This window comes from Homo sapiens, chromosome 1 (genome assembly GCF_000001405.40).
Source record: "Homo sapiens chromosome 1, GRCh38.p14 Primary Assembly".
In the NCBI taxonomy this organism is placed as follows: domain Eukaryota; kingdom Metazoa; phylum Chordata; class Mammalia; order Primates; family Hominidae; genus Homo; species Homo sapiens.
This window is the reverse complement of record NC_000001.11, coordinates 215856526-215876728: the sequence shown is the minus strand read 5'-3', so window position 1 is coordinate 215876728 and position 20203 is coordinate 215856526. Positions and strand designations below refer to the sequence as shown.

The 20203-nt window shown below is 37.0% G+C and overlaps 1 protein-coding gene across 1 annotated transcript in view; it reads left to right on the top strand.

Moving 5' to 3' along the window:
- USH2A (usherin) overlaps positions 1 to 20203 on the top strand; it is an 800558-nt gene that overhangs the window by 546720 nt on the left and 233635 nt on the right. The window contains exon 44 of the mRNA NM_206933.4: positions 9559 to 9722. Within this exon, the coding sequence (NP_996816.3) occupies positions 9559 to 9722 (164 nt within the window). The remainder of the gene's footprint in view (positions 1 to 9558; positions 9723 to 20203) is intronic.

Here is a 20203-nt window from a genome sequence, read left to right as displayed (position 1 = left end):
GGCCTTTCCTGCCAACACTCTTGCTGGTCTGATTCAGCTCCTCTGTAACATTTCCATAGGACATCCCCTAACATATCACTATTGTCATTGTAGTGTACTGGCCTGACTGCTTGTCTAAACACCACGTTATATTATCAGATCTACCATAAGGCAGGGGTGCGGTCTTCGTGACTCTGTCTTCAGTTCCTAGCATGGTGTCTGGCACATACCAGCACATAGTGCCCTACACCTGAATACTTAAAAATAGGTTAGCTCAATCAAGAATTAATTCACTGCTCTGTACCTTAGGAATATTAGCTGTAGTGTTCTTCTCTCTGGGGAATGGCAAAACTAAGGAAAATTCTCCTGTCCTCTTAAAAAGTTGTGGTGGGAAAACATCCTAGTTCTTGTAAGATTCTCAGAGAGAGGCATCTCGTAAATCTGATCAAGCAACAGAATGAACTATATGAAACTGCCACTTTTATAGGTGAAGATTGGTCAATTACTAGCAGATCCATGTTGCTTATCCTAAATTATAATGCTCATTATACTATTCTCAACTACTTTTAATTCATTATTTACTTAATTTGGCATCCCTATATGATTATCACTTCAGTAGAATAAATTCATTTATTTTTGCTTATTTGTGCTTACTGTGTGCTGAGGCACTGTGATAAGGAACAAAAGATAAATACATCTTAGCCCTTGACCTCAAAGAACTTATAATCTAGTGGAGGAACCCTTCCCCCCGCCCCCTCCATAGAGAGTGTGATATAATATGTATTTTTATATATTATATACATTATTAATTATATATAATAATCAATATATATTATATATTTATATATTGATTATTATATATAATTAATAATATATATAATTAATATATATATTAATTGCTGTCCTCAGAGTTATCTACAAAGTCACCAATTCTGCCTAAAGAAATCACTTCAAATAGTAGCTTCCTGTGACCTATGAACTCTTAAGTGCTTAAATATAACTATTTCAAAAAATAAATAGAACTTGACTCTTTAACATTACTGAATCTGAGTTTTAGCCATGAGCTACTCAGCAAAAACAAAGAATAAGTTTCCAAAAGTTAATTTTGTTTCTTTATACAAGAAATGAAAACTTATTAAATAATTAGGACCAAGGCCATGAAGTTAGTTATGAATTTTTAGTGATTCCTCTAAGGATTCTTAATGAGAAGTTCAAATCTAAGATTTCAGGAAAAAATAAAGTGAATTTCCACAACTTAAATTGAAACATGAATTGACATAAACACACCCATGACAGCTGCTTCCGGAAGGGAAGTGTGCAGATAACAAAATTGTGTTAAAGGGATATTTTGACTAGTTTCATAATGCCAAATGTCATTTTTTTCCGGTAGTACTTGCACAGATTTTTTTTATTTATTAAAATAACAGCTACAACTTACATTAAGCTTGTAGAAAAAAAAAAAGCATTTCTTCTTAACATTCAGTGTAAATGGCGTGAGTCTTTATAAGAATCTCTTTTTCTAGCCCTCTACCCTTTATAAGTCCATAAAAAGCTAGGAGTGCCTTTAGCCCAAGGGGGAGTGTCTTGCAAATATGAGAGAAAACCAAAACTTGATCCCCTGGCGGGCAGGATATTTTTCTCTTTAAAGGAAGTGATTTTGTTTGGTTAGATGGTGCCACTGGCCACCTTGGCAACATCCGGGGCTCCTTGTTCCTGCTGGTCAGCTAGTGGTCTGTCAAATTGCAGAGGGGGATGAAGCTGAGTGTTCATCATGTGTTGGTTCACCCCTGTGTTACTGTTCCTTCATGGCCCTTCCTTTGCCTATATTTGTTTTGCTGATTTATTTGTTTGGCCAGGTATGTTTTCCTGGGTTTTTAATTGAATTCTAATATCTTTGGGAGGATTATGTAATTTCCTATTCTCCCCAGATTCCACCATCCCAATTTCCTTCTTAACTTAACGTCTGCATAAATAAAAGGAGCACTGAAGTGTTTCTTACCATCTTGACTTGAATATCACCATAGTTACATTTAGAATCAGCTTTTAAATGGCACTTCTCCTGATATAAAAAGTAAAATTAAGATTCACTAGACATCTCTTTATGAATATATTTGTGACAGTAAATATAAGTTGAAGCCAATTTCCTAGTTCAAGTGGTCTATTTTGGCTAAGTATGTGTTTATAACGCATAGAAAAGCACCAATTTAATTTAAAACATCATTATATTTGGAACTTCAGATCATTCTAGTAGTTATTTTTTCTTTTATATCTACATGTACAAAACAGTCTCAAGTCAATTATCCAGATAATTTAATTCTAACAAAAATACTTTTTGCTCTTATGATTATCTTAGGTAAGGAGTAATTTTTGTCTAAATTGCACAGCTAGTTGCCTCATTATCGAATTTTGCTCTGCCTGTGTAGACACGAATTCCGTATAACTACAGGTTTATACTGCTTGTCAGTTTCTAACTTTTCTTCCTTAATAATTCCTTGCAAAGTGAGCAAGTTATGGTTGTTGGGGGAACTATAACTTTGGGTTTCCTGACATTTTCATCACTTAGAAAATCTGGCGAACGTGCTGTTATCATCTGAAGCTGCCGAAGTGAGTCAGGCAGGGTTTAACAAGAGGGCGGCGACCTCCTTCATTTTAAGCATCAATCTACCTTCACAATTTTCAGCACCTAACAACACTGCCTTGGTTCCTAAGTGATCAGATAAAACTGCTAAGAATACAATGAGCATGTTCTCCTTTTCGTTGTGGATTTAAAGAAGAACAAGTTATAATAAACAATAGGGTTATTTTACTATTATAGAGAAAATATTGACTGTCAGATTATAATTTAGATTTATAAATTAGCTTTCATTAAGTTTATGAAGGAATGTATGTTCTAATTGCTATTCCTTTTAATTATTTATACATTTCTCAGAGTATTTTTTTTTTTTTTTGCAATGACAATTTGGATGGAGACCTCTATGTGATTCCTCGAGAATCCACTAATTGTATTACATTTAAATTAAAACATTCAAAATTAACACATTTTCGTCTTATTTTTCAAAGAAGGGTAAGACTTAAGATGTAAATGCTTAAGCTAAATATATCATAAATTCTAAGTTTAAATCTTATTGACATATATTTTCATATATATTTTTAAATCTACTAAAATAAAGATGTTTCAAGTCCTAAAAGAGGATGCCATTTCTGTGGGGGATAATATTCAAAAGAACATAACTTTTGTTCCTCTTCTTTGTAATGAGATTAAATATGTATAGATGACATCTGCATCTTTGCTAGTATGAAAGACTGGGTCAGTTCCATGACACGTGTTTCTATAATATAAATAATGTCAGATTGTAGCTATTAAGTGAAGAAGTTAACTTTGTACATAGAAAGGGCAAGTGAAAGGAAAGCTTCTCCCGTGACTACCAAGATGAGATAGATCCTGTTAATTTATTCCTTAATATGGGAATGTGAATAAAAATTGAGTCTAAGAATGAAAGCCAACTTCTGTCAACACTAGTATGCCATCTCATAGCCATGCACTTAATTCAAAAGGAGTAAACATGTCTTTCACATTCAAATTAAATTGGTCACAGTGTTTTTTCCCATTGGATTTTTTTTTCAATGCCTTACATGCCCTACACGATGTCCTTTTCTGTGTCATCATATTATGTGTTACCTCCTTGTATTAGCCCATTTTGCAATGCTCTAAAGAAACACCTGAGACTGGATAATTTATAAAGAAAAGTTTACTTGGCTCATGGTTCTGCAGGCTGTACAAGAAGCCTGGTGCCAGCGTCTTCCTCTGGTGAAGGCTTCAGGGAGCTTTTACCCGTGGTGGAAGGTGAAAAGGGAGCAGGTATGTCACATGGCAAGAGAGGGAGCAAGAGGGCGCTGGGAGGAATGCCATGCTCTTAAACAACCAGCTCTCCCCTGAGCTAATATTGTGAGGGCTCACTCACTACCACAGGGATGACAGCAAGCCATTCATAAGGGATTCACCCCTATGATCCAAGCACATCCCATTAGGGCCTACATTCAACATTGGTGATCACATTTCAACATAAGATTTGGAGGGGACAAATATCCAAACTATATCACTCATGAAAAATGAACTTCTAAATCCAGAAGGATGTGTTTTGTCACAGGAGGTTTTTTTCCCCTAGTGTTTTCTTAGAATAAAAAAGCAGAAAAACTACTTTCATTGGCTGTATTTCTTTCTCATGGTGATGACAAAGTAGAACAAAGATGGAAATTACTGCAAAATTATCTTAGGTCTGACAATTCTGGTAGTGTAGATATAGATAGCAACAGAAACATAACAGCTTCAAGTTTCACTCACAATCTAAAATGTCTCATATTAAAAATATTCAAGTGTGATCAACATTACTCTTCAATTTTTGAAGCAAAAATCTTCAATACTATTTTTAGAATCAACAAATAGATTTTTTAAAGTGTCTACCATCAGCTGAAAATTTTAATAGCTATAGACTTAAGCAATGGAAACAATATTGCATTTCATTTTTCTTTGTTTGCTATTCCCACAAAAGATTTGAAGATGTAAGGAAAAGTATGATTTATGAGATTTCTCAAATCCACACTTGTGTGATGGTGTACTGAAAAATACTTTGGGTTGTGGCAGAGATGAGGAAGAGTTAGTGGAAGAAGCAACTAAATAACCTGCATTTTCAGAAGCGTGATTTATATTGGTGACAATATTAACACATGAATTCTGTTAGGACATCAATAAAGTTGACACATTTTTAATTCTGATGAAAATAACCCCAGGCATTCTGCAGCTGCCCTGAAGAATTTTGGTTTCCCACAATATATCAGTCCCTTCCAAGATACAAGCCTTCACATATTTTGCCCTGGACAAATGTCTTCACTGGATAAAATACCACTTCTTATCAAAACCTGCCCCAAATGTTACCTCCTCCGTGAAGACTTCCCAGCTGGATATGGTTAAATTAGATGCTTCATCTGATGCGTGTTCAAAGAATAAGGAATAAATGAATAAATTAGATGTTCTCATTTAAAAACATATTTCTGTAAAATTTTATATACATTATGGCTCCAGGTGGACAGATAACAATTTTATTATTTTTAACACCTGGCATATTGGTAATATCCAATAAATATTAAATGAATGAACAAATGAATGAGTGAAGTGATGTATTAAATATGAAAAAGCAATATAATTTGTTTTCAATATATTTTTAAAAGCACTTTGCTAAGTTTCAGCAGAGATATTCTTTCTATTGGACAGGTAGATTTTTATCTCACTAACCTAAAAAATTATATAAGTGACCTGAAATTTTTGAGACTGAGTGCTTAAATAACTATGAAACATCTATTCATTCATTTATAAAATTATCTATTCAGTAAATAAACAAATTAAAACTGCATCATTTAAACATAATCTAGTTTTCTAATTCATTGGAGTAATAACACCTGAACCTTGAAATGAATATTGTTCCACAAGTAAGATTTTAACACATATTATTTTTTATGAGGAAAATTACCATAGTCATGTCTATACCATAATAAAGTTTACAATTTGCTGTTTGGGGAGTGGAGGAGGGAGAGACCGGAGGATGGTCTCAAGCAAATGGGGGAAAAACTATTGTAATAGTCCAAGTATTCCTAAATGGACCCAAAAACAATTGGTTTTACTGGCTACATCATAGACTCAATATAAGTATTCACTTACTTTGAATACTTATATTGCAAAAGTTTTTTCCTACAGAGTTTAAAATGGACATTTTTCAAGACATGCCTAGAGAACACACTTTGTATTTAGAGAAGAAATTGATTGATACACATAAGTTTTGTCATAAGTATATGATGTTAATTGATCTAGCATTTTTGTTTTAAAATGTATTCTTTTATCATTTATTAAATGGAATGTCCCATTTAATATCAACAATCAACACGTAAGTCCATTTGAAAAACAGTATACATAGAGTGAATGGAAAACCACTTCAAGCCAACTAATACATTCTTTTTTTGATATGAAGTGGTGAAATGTGAATCAACATATATATGTAGACAAGCCATAGGTATATATTCTTACTAAATACAGATTGGAATTCAGATGAAATGAAAACAGTATATTTTAGTATTTAAGAGGATTCAGGATCTTGTTTCCTCGGCCAGGCGCGGTGACTCACGCCTGTACAGAATCCCAGCAGTGGGAGGCCGAGGTGGGTGGATCATGAGGTCAGAAGATCGAGACCATCCTGGCTAACACGATGAAACCCCGTCTCTACTAAAAAAAAAAAAAAAAAAGCTAGGAGTGGTGGCTGACACCTGTAGTCCCAGTTACTCTCAAGGCTGAGGCAGGAGAATGGCGTGAACCCGGGAGGCGGAGTTTGCAGTGAGCTGAGATCGCGCCACTGCACTCCAGCCTGGGCACAGAGCGAGACTCCGTCTCAAAAAAATAAATAAATAAAAAAAAAATAAAAAATAAAAAAAAAATCTTGTTTCCTTAAAAATTTAACTTAACAATGAAAGTTAAAGTACAAAAGACAAATGTACGGCCTCAAATGAAATATCTACTGATTTCTCAATTAAATTTTTAAAAAGTGGAAATAGTGTAATATTGGAAATGAATAAACCCTATGTCCAGCTACCCCATTAACTAGTTGTGCAAACTTACACAAATCCACTTGTTTCTCAGGGTCTCAGGGTTTTTTGTTTAATCTGTATGATGTAGCACACACTTTATTATTTGTAGCAGATAAACTCTAAAGCCATCTCTTACTCTAAAATTTTAGAACCACCTTGAAAACAGGCATGCAATTGTGTGTATCTATGTGGCCTGAGTTTTGTAGACGTAAATTGTGTATTTCGCCATAACTAAATTATTGTGAAATCTCTTAAAGTATTATAAAAACTAAAGCCCTATAGAATTTATTTACAATCAACCATTTTAGCGCCACCTGATATTGTTAATTCCACATGTAGGAAAGAACCACAAACATGGTATCACTTTAAATCCATAAAGATTATTAATTGTATAATAGCATAGACATGTGGAAGAAAAATTTACATATTATAGGAGAGGAGGCTAGGTATCCAGACTCTAGCTACATTTCTTTTAAGTCATTTTATGAAGTAAAATATAATTATAAGTATTTTACCCAGGGAGAGAGCTAATGAAGCCAAGGTCGCTGGTTCAATTCCCTTGTGAGCCATTAGCTTCATTTCATTCCATTGTCATAGGCTTGCTACCCTCTTAACCCCGACTCATCATCCTTCATATTCATACTATTGGTTGCAAAGGAAATTTGGCCAGACTGTTTGAATGTGTAAGCAAAAATCTATTCCCTCTGCTAGAAAAATAACGCAAAGTTCAAGCCTTAGTGATATGACATCATCCAAGTATGGACAGAACAGATTATCATTATGATTGTTATTATTACTATTATTATTATCATCACTATTATGTTGGCAGTATAGCATCATGGTTAAAAGAGCAGGCTCTGAAATCAGACTGCCTATATTTGAATCTCAGTCCTCCTACTTATTATCTCAATGACTTGGACAAGTTATTTATCTCTCTGAGCCTTGTTTTTCTTATTTTCAAAATAGGTATTATAATAGCACCTTATAGAGTTTTGTGAGGAATGAATGGGTTAACATCTGTAGAAAATGCCTGACAGCTATTAAGTAACTATTATTATTTTTTAGTTGTCTGGATTATGTGGACTATTCAGCACTTGCTAAAAAGCATATGTATTCATTTTCCAGGGCTGCAGTAACAAAATATCACATACTGGGTGGCTTGAAACAACAGAAATTTATTCTCTCACAGGTCTGGATATAAGAAGTTGCAAACCAGTTTGTATTCTGGACCAGACTCCCTTCCAAAGCTCTGTAGAAGAACCCTTTCTTGCCTCTTCCAACTTCTGGTAGCCCTAGGAAATCCTTGGCTTGTGACAGCATAACTCCAATTTCTGTTTCTGTTTTTACATGGCCATCACCTCCCTGTGTGTATCCATGTGTCTATAAAATTTCTCTCTCTTTTTTCTTCCAAAGACATCAGCATTGAATTTATGGTGCTGCCTAATCCAGTATGACCTCATCTTAACTTGATTACATCTGCAAAAACCCTATCTTCCAATAAGGTCGTGTTCACAGGGACCAGGGGCTTGGGCTTGAAAATATCTTTTTGAAAGATACAGTTCAACCCACTACAGCAGACAAAGCAGAAATAAAAGAGGCATTAAACACCTGAGAAGAGATGGTAAAGCAGGGAGGTGTAGAAGATCTGATGCAAGCACATATTTAGGAGAAATAGATAAATAGCCTCAAAAAGTCACTAAGTTTTACCTGTAATTACAATAGAGCAACACCTTTCAATGTGGGTCAGGCAGAAACCTGCAAACGTATCTTCGGGCTATGAATAAGAAACAGGATGAGTCAAGCAGATTTCTTCTACCTAGGTGGCAGTAAAATGCTCTGAGGATCCTGATATAATTTTGGTCAAATTATTTAACACAATCCTGCAAATGGCACCTACCCACCCATGCCACACCACCTTTGCATCGTCAAATCAGAGATTGTGACATATTGAGACAAATACTGTGGGCCTTACACTGGAGATGAGGTATCCTTGATCATCTAATAAACCCAAATTAGGTAATGATCTGAGGCCAGTGTTTGCCCTGTGTCCTGGATGCCTCTGGGATGGTCGTGTGTTGCACTACATGTTTAAGCAAGTATCTCAGTCTAAGCTATTGTCCACTCATAGACTGACTGTGTCTGTTTATGGCATTTCCTTACACAGGTAGTTCTGAACCAAGCAAAGGAAGCCTGATGGTCTTCTGCCCAAAACTGGTTAAAAAAAAATGGTGGCTTTACTCTATAGTCAATTTAATAAATGACTTGGAAAGTCCTCCTCATATCACATCAGCATGTCAGTTTTTGCCTTCTGCAAAGTAATATTCGGTTTCCACTGTATTGACTCAAGTAAATATGTTCACACTATGGCAAAATACAGCTCACTGTAGCAAAACTCTCAGCGGGAGAATGTTGTACACTTTGGTCACAGTTACAATTTAATTTAGGGGTTTATCTGTCTGCAGTGAGATTATGGGAAAGAAGCATAGGTATCGGAAGAAAATGTTGATGAGGGATTCTGATATTTGAAAATGGATGAGTTTCCAAAAAGAAGAGCATAAAACTCTCTGGATCAAATTCAGATAGAAAGCTGGCAGGTTGCCTGATTTGTAATTGCATCTTGAATTGAGCTGTAATCCTCACCACTTCTGAAAACAATAAGAATAAGAAAATGATAAACCACATTTGTTTTCAATAGCAATATTTGTTCAGCATTCCTAATAAAATATTTCCCTGATGTTTTGGTTTATGCTGGCAAGTCACAAAATTAATGATATGTGTTGTGTAAGGAGGGAAAATAAAATAATGTATTTTCTAGGGAGGAAAAGAAAACAGTATTTTGTAGAGGGGTGGAAGGAAATCCTGTATTTTGTGAAGAAAAAAAGAAATTATTTGTTAGATTTTCTGTAAAGTAGAAATTCATATACTTTTTTTAACAAAACAACATTTTAGGTTTACAACCTATGAATATATGCTCTTCGTACACAACAGTGTGGGTTTTACACCGAGCCGAGAAGTGACTGTGACAACGTTAGCTGGTCTTCCAGAGAGAGGAGCCAATCTCACTGCGAGTGTCCTTAACCACACAGCCATCGACGTGAGGTGGGCTAAACCAAGTAAGTAAGCTTCTCATACCTGTGTTAACACTTTGTGTATTTTTAAAAGCATATTCTTTCTTTACTATGAACCTCCCCCATGTACACATCATTTTGATAGTGAAGTGTTACTGGTAAATTTTTACCAATTGCAGATTGACAGGGCTGTCATTGAAAACTTTAGAAGGGCCATTTTTATTAGTACCCAAATAAATTAGAAATGGACACATTAAAACTAAAACCCTGGGGCCCCTGTGCCATTCTTAAGATGCAAACTCTCTCCTACTTTGACATTGTTCTTGGGCCTCCTGCTCTCCCTCTGTCATTTCCTTTGCATGAACAACGTAATTTCTATCATACCAGGCAATTGTGATAGACATGTCCATGTATTAATTGGATACAATGTACTATTGTTCACCTTCCTTCAGAGAGCTCTGCCCTAATATCTTGTAACTCGTCGCTCATTAGCAAGAACCATTTAATTGGATTGCAATAATGGAACAGATTCTTCCCAGTGGATCATCTTCAGACTGGCTATGGGCAGAATTCCAGCTTGATCCAGTAAAAGGAAGCCTAGACATCACCACTGGATCCACTTAAATAATGCAGGGTCGACCCTGGACCTGCTGGGAACACTTTTTTAACAGGCATTTGGAAGAGTTCACAGAGTAATCTAATCTGTTCCTGCAACGTTAGAAACCACAGTAACTGAAATTTCACAGTTACTTGGTCAGTAGGGTAGTATTAACATGTTAATTTGTTGTGATCTGTTAATTTGTGTCAATCCCTGACGACTATCAGGAAAAAAACCCTGAATCTACCATGAGAATATGTATTAAAATCAGTCTTATAGGTATAACTTGAGATCTGGCAAATAGTTTCATCAAAACTTGTCAGAATAACACCAAATATTGAGAAATACCTGATCAGGAAAGACCCACTCAAAACATTTTATTTATGAAAGAACACTCTGCTCACTGGGGTAATCATCTATTGATGATATAAAAAGATGAAAAGTCACTACTGGTTGGGCAATGTAACCATGTGATTTTGGTTACACTGGATCAGCCTTGAATTTGGTTACAGCTTAAGAAGAGAGATGCTCCATTTAGGACACCTGAGTGATATCAATTGTGAATTAAAGCCAGAATTGAGGATATCAATTGTGAATTAAAGCCAGAATTGAGGATATCAATTATAAATTAAATCAGTAGGTTAGGTTTATCTGTGTTTCCACAAAATAATCCATCTTTACAAAAGAAAACTGTCTTTCTCTGGTTTTTATAAGGCTGCAGGTTTCTAATGATCTGTGACACTTGTATTGGGATCTCTTAAACCATTTTAATGGAATAATATAAGTTAATTGATGCTTATGGCTACCCTCTGAAACACCTCTGGGAAAAATACAAAGTTTTTATCTGGGGATGTGTTTTAAGGCATATTTCCATTCATCTCCCTCTTGCTCTCTACTCCACCTCACTAACTGATTCATCTTAAAAGCCTACTCATAAAGGTAGGCTCTCCCCCCTCATCTGACATTTGAATACTTCTGTTAAGATCCGGCTGGTGAATTTCCACCAATATAGGTCCTTTATGTTATAATTGCATTCCTGAAGTAACTGTGCTTATAAAAACTGACAAACCTAATAGATCTGAAGCAGCTCACTGAAGTTTCATTACCTTGGTAATCTGAACCTCTGACCTTCGGGATGTAGGTAATGCAATCTGCTGTTATTTCCATTCATACCTTGGAAATTTTTCAGATAACTATTTGTGAGCACAAAGGTTAACTCTCAGAAGAGGGTCAGTCTTGCGAAAGCTTGTTGCATTATCATTTTCTTCTTTTGGGCAACTTGCTATCTTAAGTAAATTAACTAGTCGATCCTCTGTGAAAGGTGGCCTATTTTTTGCAATTTTAATTTTAAATTGTTGTCTTGATTGGATAGGAAAAACATGGCATACAGTCTAATATGCTCAAAGGCAACAAACTATAGATTGAAAATACTTTGCAGTGGAAAATCATGTTTTAAATTTATAAATATTTGCTTATTAAAAATCACCTTCCAATGTATATATATATATTTTAAAGCATGGTCTTTGTCTATTATGACCCTCCCCATGTACACATCATTTTGGTAGCAAAATGTTTCTGGTAAATTTTTATCAATCACAGATTGATATGTATAAGTTATTAAAAACTTTTGAAGGGCCAGTTTTAAACATTAGTATCACATACATGATATGTGAGATAAAAGCGTCCCTGTGTTACTTCAGTTCATTTTTGGAAGGCAGATGTTGCAAATTGGCAACACAGTGGCCATATTTCCTTCCTCCTCCAGCTTCCATACACTGTTTTGCCCACAGTATTTGAAAAAATAATATTTGCAAACATTTAAGAATTATACATAAAGATAATTTGAGGATTCACTTGACAAGTCAAATGATGGGGTGAAACAATACCCACATTTCTGGAAGGAAACTATCAGCTGGAACTGGCTTCCCCTTTAGACAGATCATGCCCTAAAAATCTGACCCGGTCCCCATTTTCCTGGTCCCAATAGACAGGTGATGTTTATCCCTGCTTTATATGATAATACAAAATATTTTGCCCTAAACAAAATACACCAAAGATAAATTATATTGTAATTTTGAAAAATCACAGTTTTTGTATTTGAAAAATACCTCACTTAAATTATTTATACAATCCTCAGAAAAGCACAATGAGATAGAAACCAGCCCATAGTAACTTACCAAAAATTATAGAAAGTACCAGTTCCCAAACTCAAACTTAGGACTCAGGCATCAAATTTTCTATTTCTCATGCGTTTAGACTTAACAGTCATTAACACTTTAACAAGAAGGATTTAAAAGGATCCTTCTCATCTTGACTGCTCAGTCTAAAATAGAAGGCAAAATAAGAAAATGCCTACCAAAGGGAGTACAGTGGAGAGATAGTGCCTCCTTTGAAGCTGATTCACTAAGGAAGTCAGTTGTGGCCAGAAAAGAGCAGTAAAACACTGGAGGGAGTGAGAGGGCAATGCTTTGTAAAAGAGGAAATGAAAAATCATCAAAATATTGTCTACTTTACTGTCTGTCAAGAGCTCACCCCAACCTTCAGATGTTCATATCTTGTATCATATAATCCTCCTGGTCTTGCTCTCTCCTTCCTCTTTTTTTCCATCTTCCTTCTTTCTCTATTTCCTTTTTTAAAATGTTTTTGTAGAGACAGGTTCTCCCTATGCTTAGGTTAGTCTCGAATTAATGGGCTCAAGTGATCCTCTCTCCTTGGCCTCCTAAAGTGCTGGAATTACAGCCATAAGGGACCATGCCTGGCCATTTGTCTATTTCTCTTCTTCTACCCTCTCTCTCTCTCTCTCTTTCTTCCTATTTTCCTTCCTTCCTCACAGATACATTTATCACTTTCTCTGTCCTGAGCACTCAGTGAACTCTGGAAAATGCATAAAGTATGAGGGTATCATCATTAAGAGGGCAAGTTTAAAACCACAGAAAAAGCATTTGTCTCATCCTGATCTCTTAATCAGAAACTACCAGGTTTGATAGCTAGAAGTATATCTGACTTTGCCTGAATTTATCTGATTAAGGTGGCAATATCTGTAAATAATTCCAAATCTCATCTCTTCTAAAAAGCACCTACCATTGTTGCCTCACCTTGTTCCTCTGTTCTCTTTTCCATCACTTTAGTTATCAAATAGAAGAGACCACATCTGACTTTTCCATTGTCTTCCTTCTCAGTCACTTGTGCACCTGTTGTAATCTGTCTCTCTTCACTTGTACTCTACATGGTTTTCTTAAAGTCATTAGTTATCACCTAATGACCCATTTCAAAACTCTCTTCTCAATGCCATCCTACTGTGTTCCTCTTGTATCCAGCACTGTGAATGATCCCTTACTGACTATAATTCTTCCCCAATAATCATTACTCCCCTCTTCTCACCAACTACTTCTTCTCATCCCTAAAGATGTTTCTCAAAGTTCTTTCCTGAGTCTTCCTATCATACTCCTGTTCTCTTGTTGGTGATTCCATCTATACTCAAGGTTTCAAATTCTTCTAATTACAAAAATGACAACCGCCAACATTGTATGCAGCCATATGAATAAATAGTTTTAAAATAGACTTTGGGATCAGGGATACTTAAATTTGAATCCCAGTTCCAATATGTTTTGGCACTACGACCTAGAATTTAACCTGAGTTCCAGTTTTCTAATCAGAAATATGAAGATAATAACTGCCCTGAAATCTGTTAAGGACTAAATGAAATAATATATGTTTAACAATTAGTAATCACCTAGTATTTGTAATACAGAGTATTATTCTATTTCTAAAATGTGCATGGTCCTTTCAATACCATTTTATATAATATATAAAAGGGGAAGCCATGTCTAGTAAAAGCTTGGAAGTTGATTTTGCAAGACTATTCAGATAAAAGCATTTTTTTTATTATTATTATACTTTAAGTTCTAGGGTACATCTGCACAACGTGCAGGTTTGTTACATATGTAAACATGTGCCATGTTGGTGTGCTGCACCCATTAACTCGTCATTTACATTAGGTATATCTCCTAATGCTATCCCTCCCCACTCCCCCCACCCCACGACAGGCCCCGGTGTGTGATGTTCCCCTTCCTGTGTCCTAGTGTTCTCATTGTTCAATTCCCAACTATGAGTGAGAACATGCGGTGTTTGGTTTTTTGTCCTTGCTATAGTTTGCTGAGAATGATGGTTTCCAGCTTCATCCATGTCCCTACAAAGGAGATAAAAGCATTTCTACAGTGAGTTGAAGATGCATAAAGAATATATGTTATTTTATAATTACCTGACTTGGCTAAAAGATAGAAATTTAAAAATCTAGTTAAAATGTTGAAAACTTAGTCTGGGTTCCATGGCTCATGCCTGTAATCCCAGCACTTTGGGAGGCCGAGGTGGGCGGATAATGAGGTCAGGAGATCGAGACCATCCTGGCCAACATGGTGAAACTCCGTCTCTACTAAAAATACAAAAATTGGCCAGGTGTGGTGGTGCATGCCTGTAGTCCCAGCTAGTCGGGAGACTGAGGCAGGAGACTCGCTTGTACCCGGGAGGCGGAGGTTGCAGTGAGCCGAGATCGTGCCACTGCACTCCAGCCTGGTGACAGAGTGAGACTCTGTCTCAAAAAAAAAAAAAAAAAAAAGCGAAAACTACTAACTATTGCATGGCATCCATTCTCCTCTTTTTCTTTTAGTGATAGCCTTGCCCCTTATCTAGAAACTGCATTTACTAACCTCCCTTGCAATTAGTCATGGCCAGGTGAAATACCAGTAGTATGTGTTTGTGTCAATAGAAAGTGAAAGACAATCTGCATCTTTTTGGGTATTAACCAGAAAACACTGGGTGTGTGCCTACTTGTTCTCTTTTAGCCCTTCCCCTGGACTGGAATGAGGACATGATCATGTTCTCAGGTTCAACTATGCAGTCGTGTACAACACCCAAAGAGATCCAAAATCCCCATAAGAGAAAGTTCCTGGGTTCTTAAGTGACCACATGGAGCACAGTCTGTTTTGATCACTTTGAAGCTATTACATGAGATACAAATTAACATGGATTTTATTTAAACTATTATATTTTGGAGATTTTAGGTTTCACCAGCTTCGCTAACTAACTCATTCCCTGTTTGCCCATATCAATTTACCTTAAAAGTAGAAATTAGCTATCCTGTTTTTTAACTAAATATAAAATGATGAATAATTAATATATCTATTATACTATCTCCTTTAAATACAGTTTTCTCTGGCAGGCCCCTGATAGAAGCTGGAACACTATGAGAGACTAAAGTAGCTCTGGAGTTTCCAAAGTGCAGGTGTTTGGTTTTGACAGATGGGTAAACTAGAGACAAGACAGGAGATATGCTGCTCGGAAAACTAAGGAGGCTGACTTGAAGGATTATTGCCCAAGAAGTTAATCTTTCCACTTCATGTCAGCAGTAGTACCCTCAGGCAGAGTAAAGAATTTTCTCAAGAGCAGTTTTGACAAGCTCAAATTTTCCAAGAGCTGCTTAGTTGGTGACGCAGAGCCCTGCACCATAGAACTTGGAAAATTGGACTCTAATTTGGAGATTCTGCGAGCAAGATCAAGACTTCCATCATAAAATCAGCTTAATAAGGTCCTTCCAGGTTTTTACATTTGAGCAACATTACCTCCCAAAATGAGCCTGCTAATGTGAGATGTCTGAAGAATTTAGTCCTAGACAAATAAATTAAGAGATCTAATAAATGAAATGATTTACTATAATTGATCTGAATCAGTACAACAAACTTTTTTTGTAAAGTGTCAAATATGTATAATGTTAGACTTTGAAGCCCATACAGTCTCTGTCTTAACTCAAATTTGCCACTGGAGCACATAAACAGCAATAAGGTGATTCTGATTTTTAAATAAGCATGGCCATGTTCCAATAAAACTTTATTTTGGACATTGAGATTTGATTTTCATATATTAGGTTGGCACAAAAGTAATTGTGGTTTTCGCCATTGAAGTAATGGCAAAAACCACAACTACTTTGCGCCAACCTAATAATTCTCACATGTCATGAAATACTTTTTTTCTTTTGTTTTTTTCCCCCAATCAAATAAATGTACAAACCATTCTTAGCTTGCAGGGGGTGGGCCACACTAGGCCAACAGGCCAGATTTAGCTCATGGAACATAGCTTGCTGACCTCTAATGTAGATGTTAAAAATCTAGAAGACATAATTGACATTGATAATTGTCTTGGTCTGTTTGTGTTGTTATAACAGAATACCTGAGGCTGGGAAGTCAATAAGGAAAAGAGTTTTGCTTAGCTCATGATTCTGCAGACTGTACAAGAAGCATGGCTGTAGTATTTACTTGGTTTCTGGTGAGGGCTTTTGTGATGCATTAAACATGACAGAGAAGGTCAAAAGGTGAGTGGACATGTGCAAAGATGCAAAATCCAAGGGATGCCCGGCTTTCTAAAAACCCACTCTTGAGGGAACTAATTCATTTCTTCAAAAACTAACCCAGCCTTGCCAGAGCAAGACACCAAGCCATTCATGAGAATCTGGCCCCATGCAACAAACACCTCCAACTAGGCCTCATCTTCCAAAACTAGTACACTGGAGGTCACATGAGGTTTGGTGGTGATATAAACCCTTGATCCCCCTTTGCTGGGAACCATGGCAATAATTTAAGGCCATGTAAGAAGCACAATCTACTTGCTGTTGCAGGATAACTTTTAACTAGCCCGTCTGTTATGGACTAAAGCCCTAATTCTCAGTGTAGCTGTATTTGGAGACGGGGCCTCTAAAGAAATACAGTCATCCCTTGGTATATGCAGGCGATTGGTTCCAGGACTGCCCCCTAAGTACACCAAAGCTGTGCATACTCAAGTCCAGCAGTCAGCCGTGCAGAATCCATGTATATGAAAAGTTGGCCTTCTACACGAGTTTTGCATGGGAGAATACTACTTTATTTTTTTTGGAGATGGAGTCTCATTCTGTCACTCAGGCTGGAGTGCAGTGGTGTGATCTCGGCTCACTGCAACCTCCACCTCCTGTGTTCAAGCAATTCTCCTGCCTCAGCCTCCCAAGTAGCTGGGACTACAGGCACATCCCACCACGCCTGGCTGATTTTTTGTATTTTTAGTAGAGACGGGGTTTCACTGTGTTAGCCAGGAAGGTCTCAATCTCCTGACTTCGTGATCCTCCCGCCTCGGCCTTCCAAAGTGCTGGGATTACAGGCTAGAGCCACCATGCCAGCTGAGAATACTATATTTTCAATTCTTGTTTGGTTGAAAAAAGTCCCTTTATAAATGGACCCAAGCAGTTCACACCTGTGTTATTGTGTTGTTCAAGGGTCAACCGTAATTAAGGTTAAATGAGATTATAAGAGTGGGACCTCGATTTCATAAGTTAGCACACAGGCTCGCTTGCTCTTTCTCTCTGTCTCTCCCCCAACCCCTTCTCTCCCTTTCTCCGATCACAGAGGAAAAGCATGGGAAAACTCAGCAGCTAGAAAGTAGCTCTCCAAAAGCCAGGGAAAGAGCCCTCAGCAGAAACTAAATTTGCTGGCGCCTTGATCACGAACCTCTAGCCTCCAGATTGTGAGAAATAAGTTTCTGTTGTTCAAGCCACCCAGCCTTTAATATTTTGTTAAGGCAGCCCGAGCAAACTAATACATATCTAACTACTGTTAAAATTATTTAGGAATTCATTATAAAGGAGAGGAGCCTGTTCTATATTTGAGAATTTGCTCCAGCTAAGATAAAATTTCTGACCAAGGATTGGAGGTTGCAACTAAAAATAACATTTAATAGCAAAGCTCTTATCCAAAAAGGTTACAACCTTTTTCAGCTCACTGAGATTGTAATAGTCTGTTCTCACATTGCTATAAAGAAATATGCAAGACTGAGTAATTTATAAAGGAAAAAGGTTTAATTGACCCACAGTTCTGCATGGCTGGAAAGGCCTCAGGAAACTTACGATCATGGCAGAAGGTGAAGAGACGACATGCGAGATAGGTGAGAGAGAGAATGCACACATAGGAGGAACTGTCAAACACTTATGAAACCATCAGATCTTGCGAGAACTCACTATCATGAGAACAGCGTGGGGGAAACCACCCCCGTAATCCAATCACCTCCCACCAGGTCCTGCCCTTGACACATGGGTATTATGGAGATTACAATTTAAGATGAGATTTGGGTGGGGACATGGGACCTAACCATATCAGAGATTAACTTGATATTCCCACAAGTAGGGCAATACCTGCTCAGATAAATTTATGTGGTCCACAAAATATGCATCATACATAATAGGATTAGAATATCTGAGAAAATATATCCCAATATACACATATTTAACATAATCTCACAGGAAATCCCGATTTCTTTCTATTGCATCAAATACAAGCAAGTACAAGCCTTAACTCCATATTGTATAACTGTAACTCAAACATTCACATTGTAGTTTTTAAGTTCACCTAGTTGCCACAGAAACACTTGAAAGATAACAAAATCCTAAGCTCCAACAACCATCTGAGTGGATCCCCACTTGGCCAAGGGGACACCAGAGCAACCTTGAAAACTGAGTTCTTGGCTACAGTGGGATGGGAAGTCAGACACCCCTCCCTGGCTATACACCATTAGGGTTACTTCCCTAAGTGCTAAGCAGAAACCACCCTTTCAAAAGATTCCACCACTGATATCAACCAACCACCTGATGCTGCCCCTCTTCTACTAACTGATGAGAGACCTCTGGCCACAGAGTTGTCATGGCCAGTGTATGGAGAATCTGCAGTCAGGGTCTTCATGTCCTCTTCTTCACTGCTTGATGTCAGAGGGCTGAAAACTCCACCCTCAGATTGTGCTAATGCTGCCATTTTTGTACGTGGGATGCACCAGGGGATGTAAAACTCAATTGCACATGTGCGTGTTTCTCCTTTCATAAATACTCATGACTCTTCCTGAGGCTTATTGAATATGTATATTCAGTCACCCCACTCAGCATAAATTCCTGTTGCTCCTCCCTTGAAGAATCTTTTCTGGCTTCTGGCTTAAGGCTACCATATGCTTCCCAGGCTGTCTGAATGGCCATCCTGCAGGCTGCAACCCTTTATGAGAAGTAAAGCTCTCCTTTTCAAATTTATGAACCTCTTCTGTTGACACACTTCAAACTCAAGAAGTCTCAAATGAAACAAGTTTCAAAATCTCATCCCATAATTCCATGTTTTCTATCTTATTTAATGGGATTCACCCAGAAACTAAAACCAAAAATCTAAGCTATAGCTGTATCTCTTCCTTATCCCTTTTTAATTTGTTTATTTACTTATTTGTACACGAATAAGTTCTTTAGTGGTGATTTTTCAGATTTTGGTGCACCCATCACCCAAGCAGTATACACTGTACCCAATGGTTAGTCTTGTATCCGTTGCCTCCCTTCCACCCACTCCCCCGAGTGCCCAAAGTCCATTGTATCATTCTTATGCCTTTGCATCCTTACAGTTTAGCTCTCACTTATGAGTGAGAACATATGATGTTTGGTTTTTCATTCCTGAGTTACTTCACTTAGAATAATGGTCTCCAGTTCCATCAAGGTTTCTGCAAATGCCATTATTTTGTTCCTTTGAATGGCTGATACACACACACACACACACACACACACACACACACACACACACACACCAAATTTTTTTATCCACTCATTGATTGATGGGCGTTTGGGCTGGTTCCATGTTTTCACAATTGTGAACTGTGCTGCTATAAACATGCATGTGTAAGTATCTTTTCATATAATGACTTCTTTTCCTCTTGGTAGATACCCAGGAGTAGGATTGATGAATCAAATGGTAAATCTACTTTTAGTTCTTTAAGGAATCTCCACACTATTTTTCATAGTGGTTGTACTAGTTTACGTTCCCACCAAGTGTAAAAATGTGTTCTTTGTATCACATCTATGCCAAGGTCTATTATTTTTTGGTTTTTTGATTAT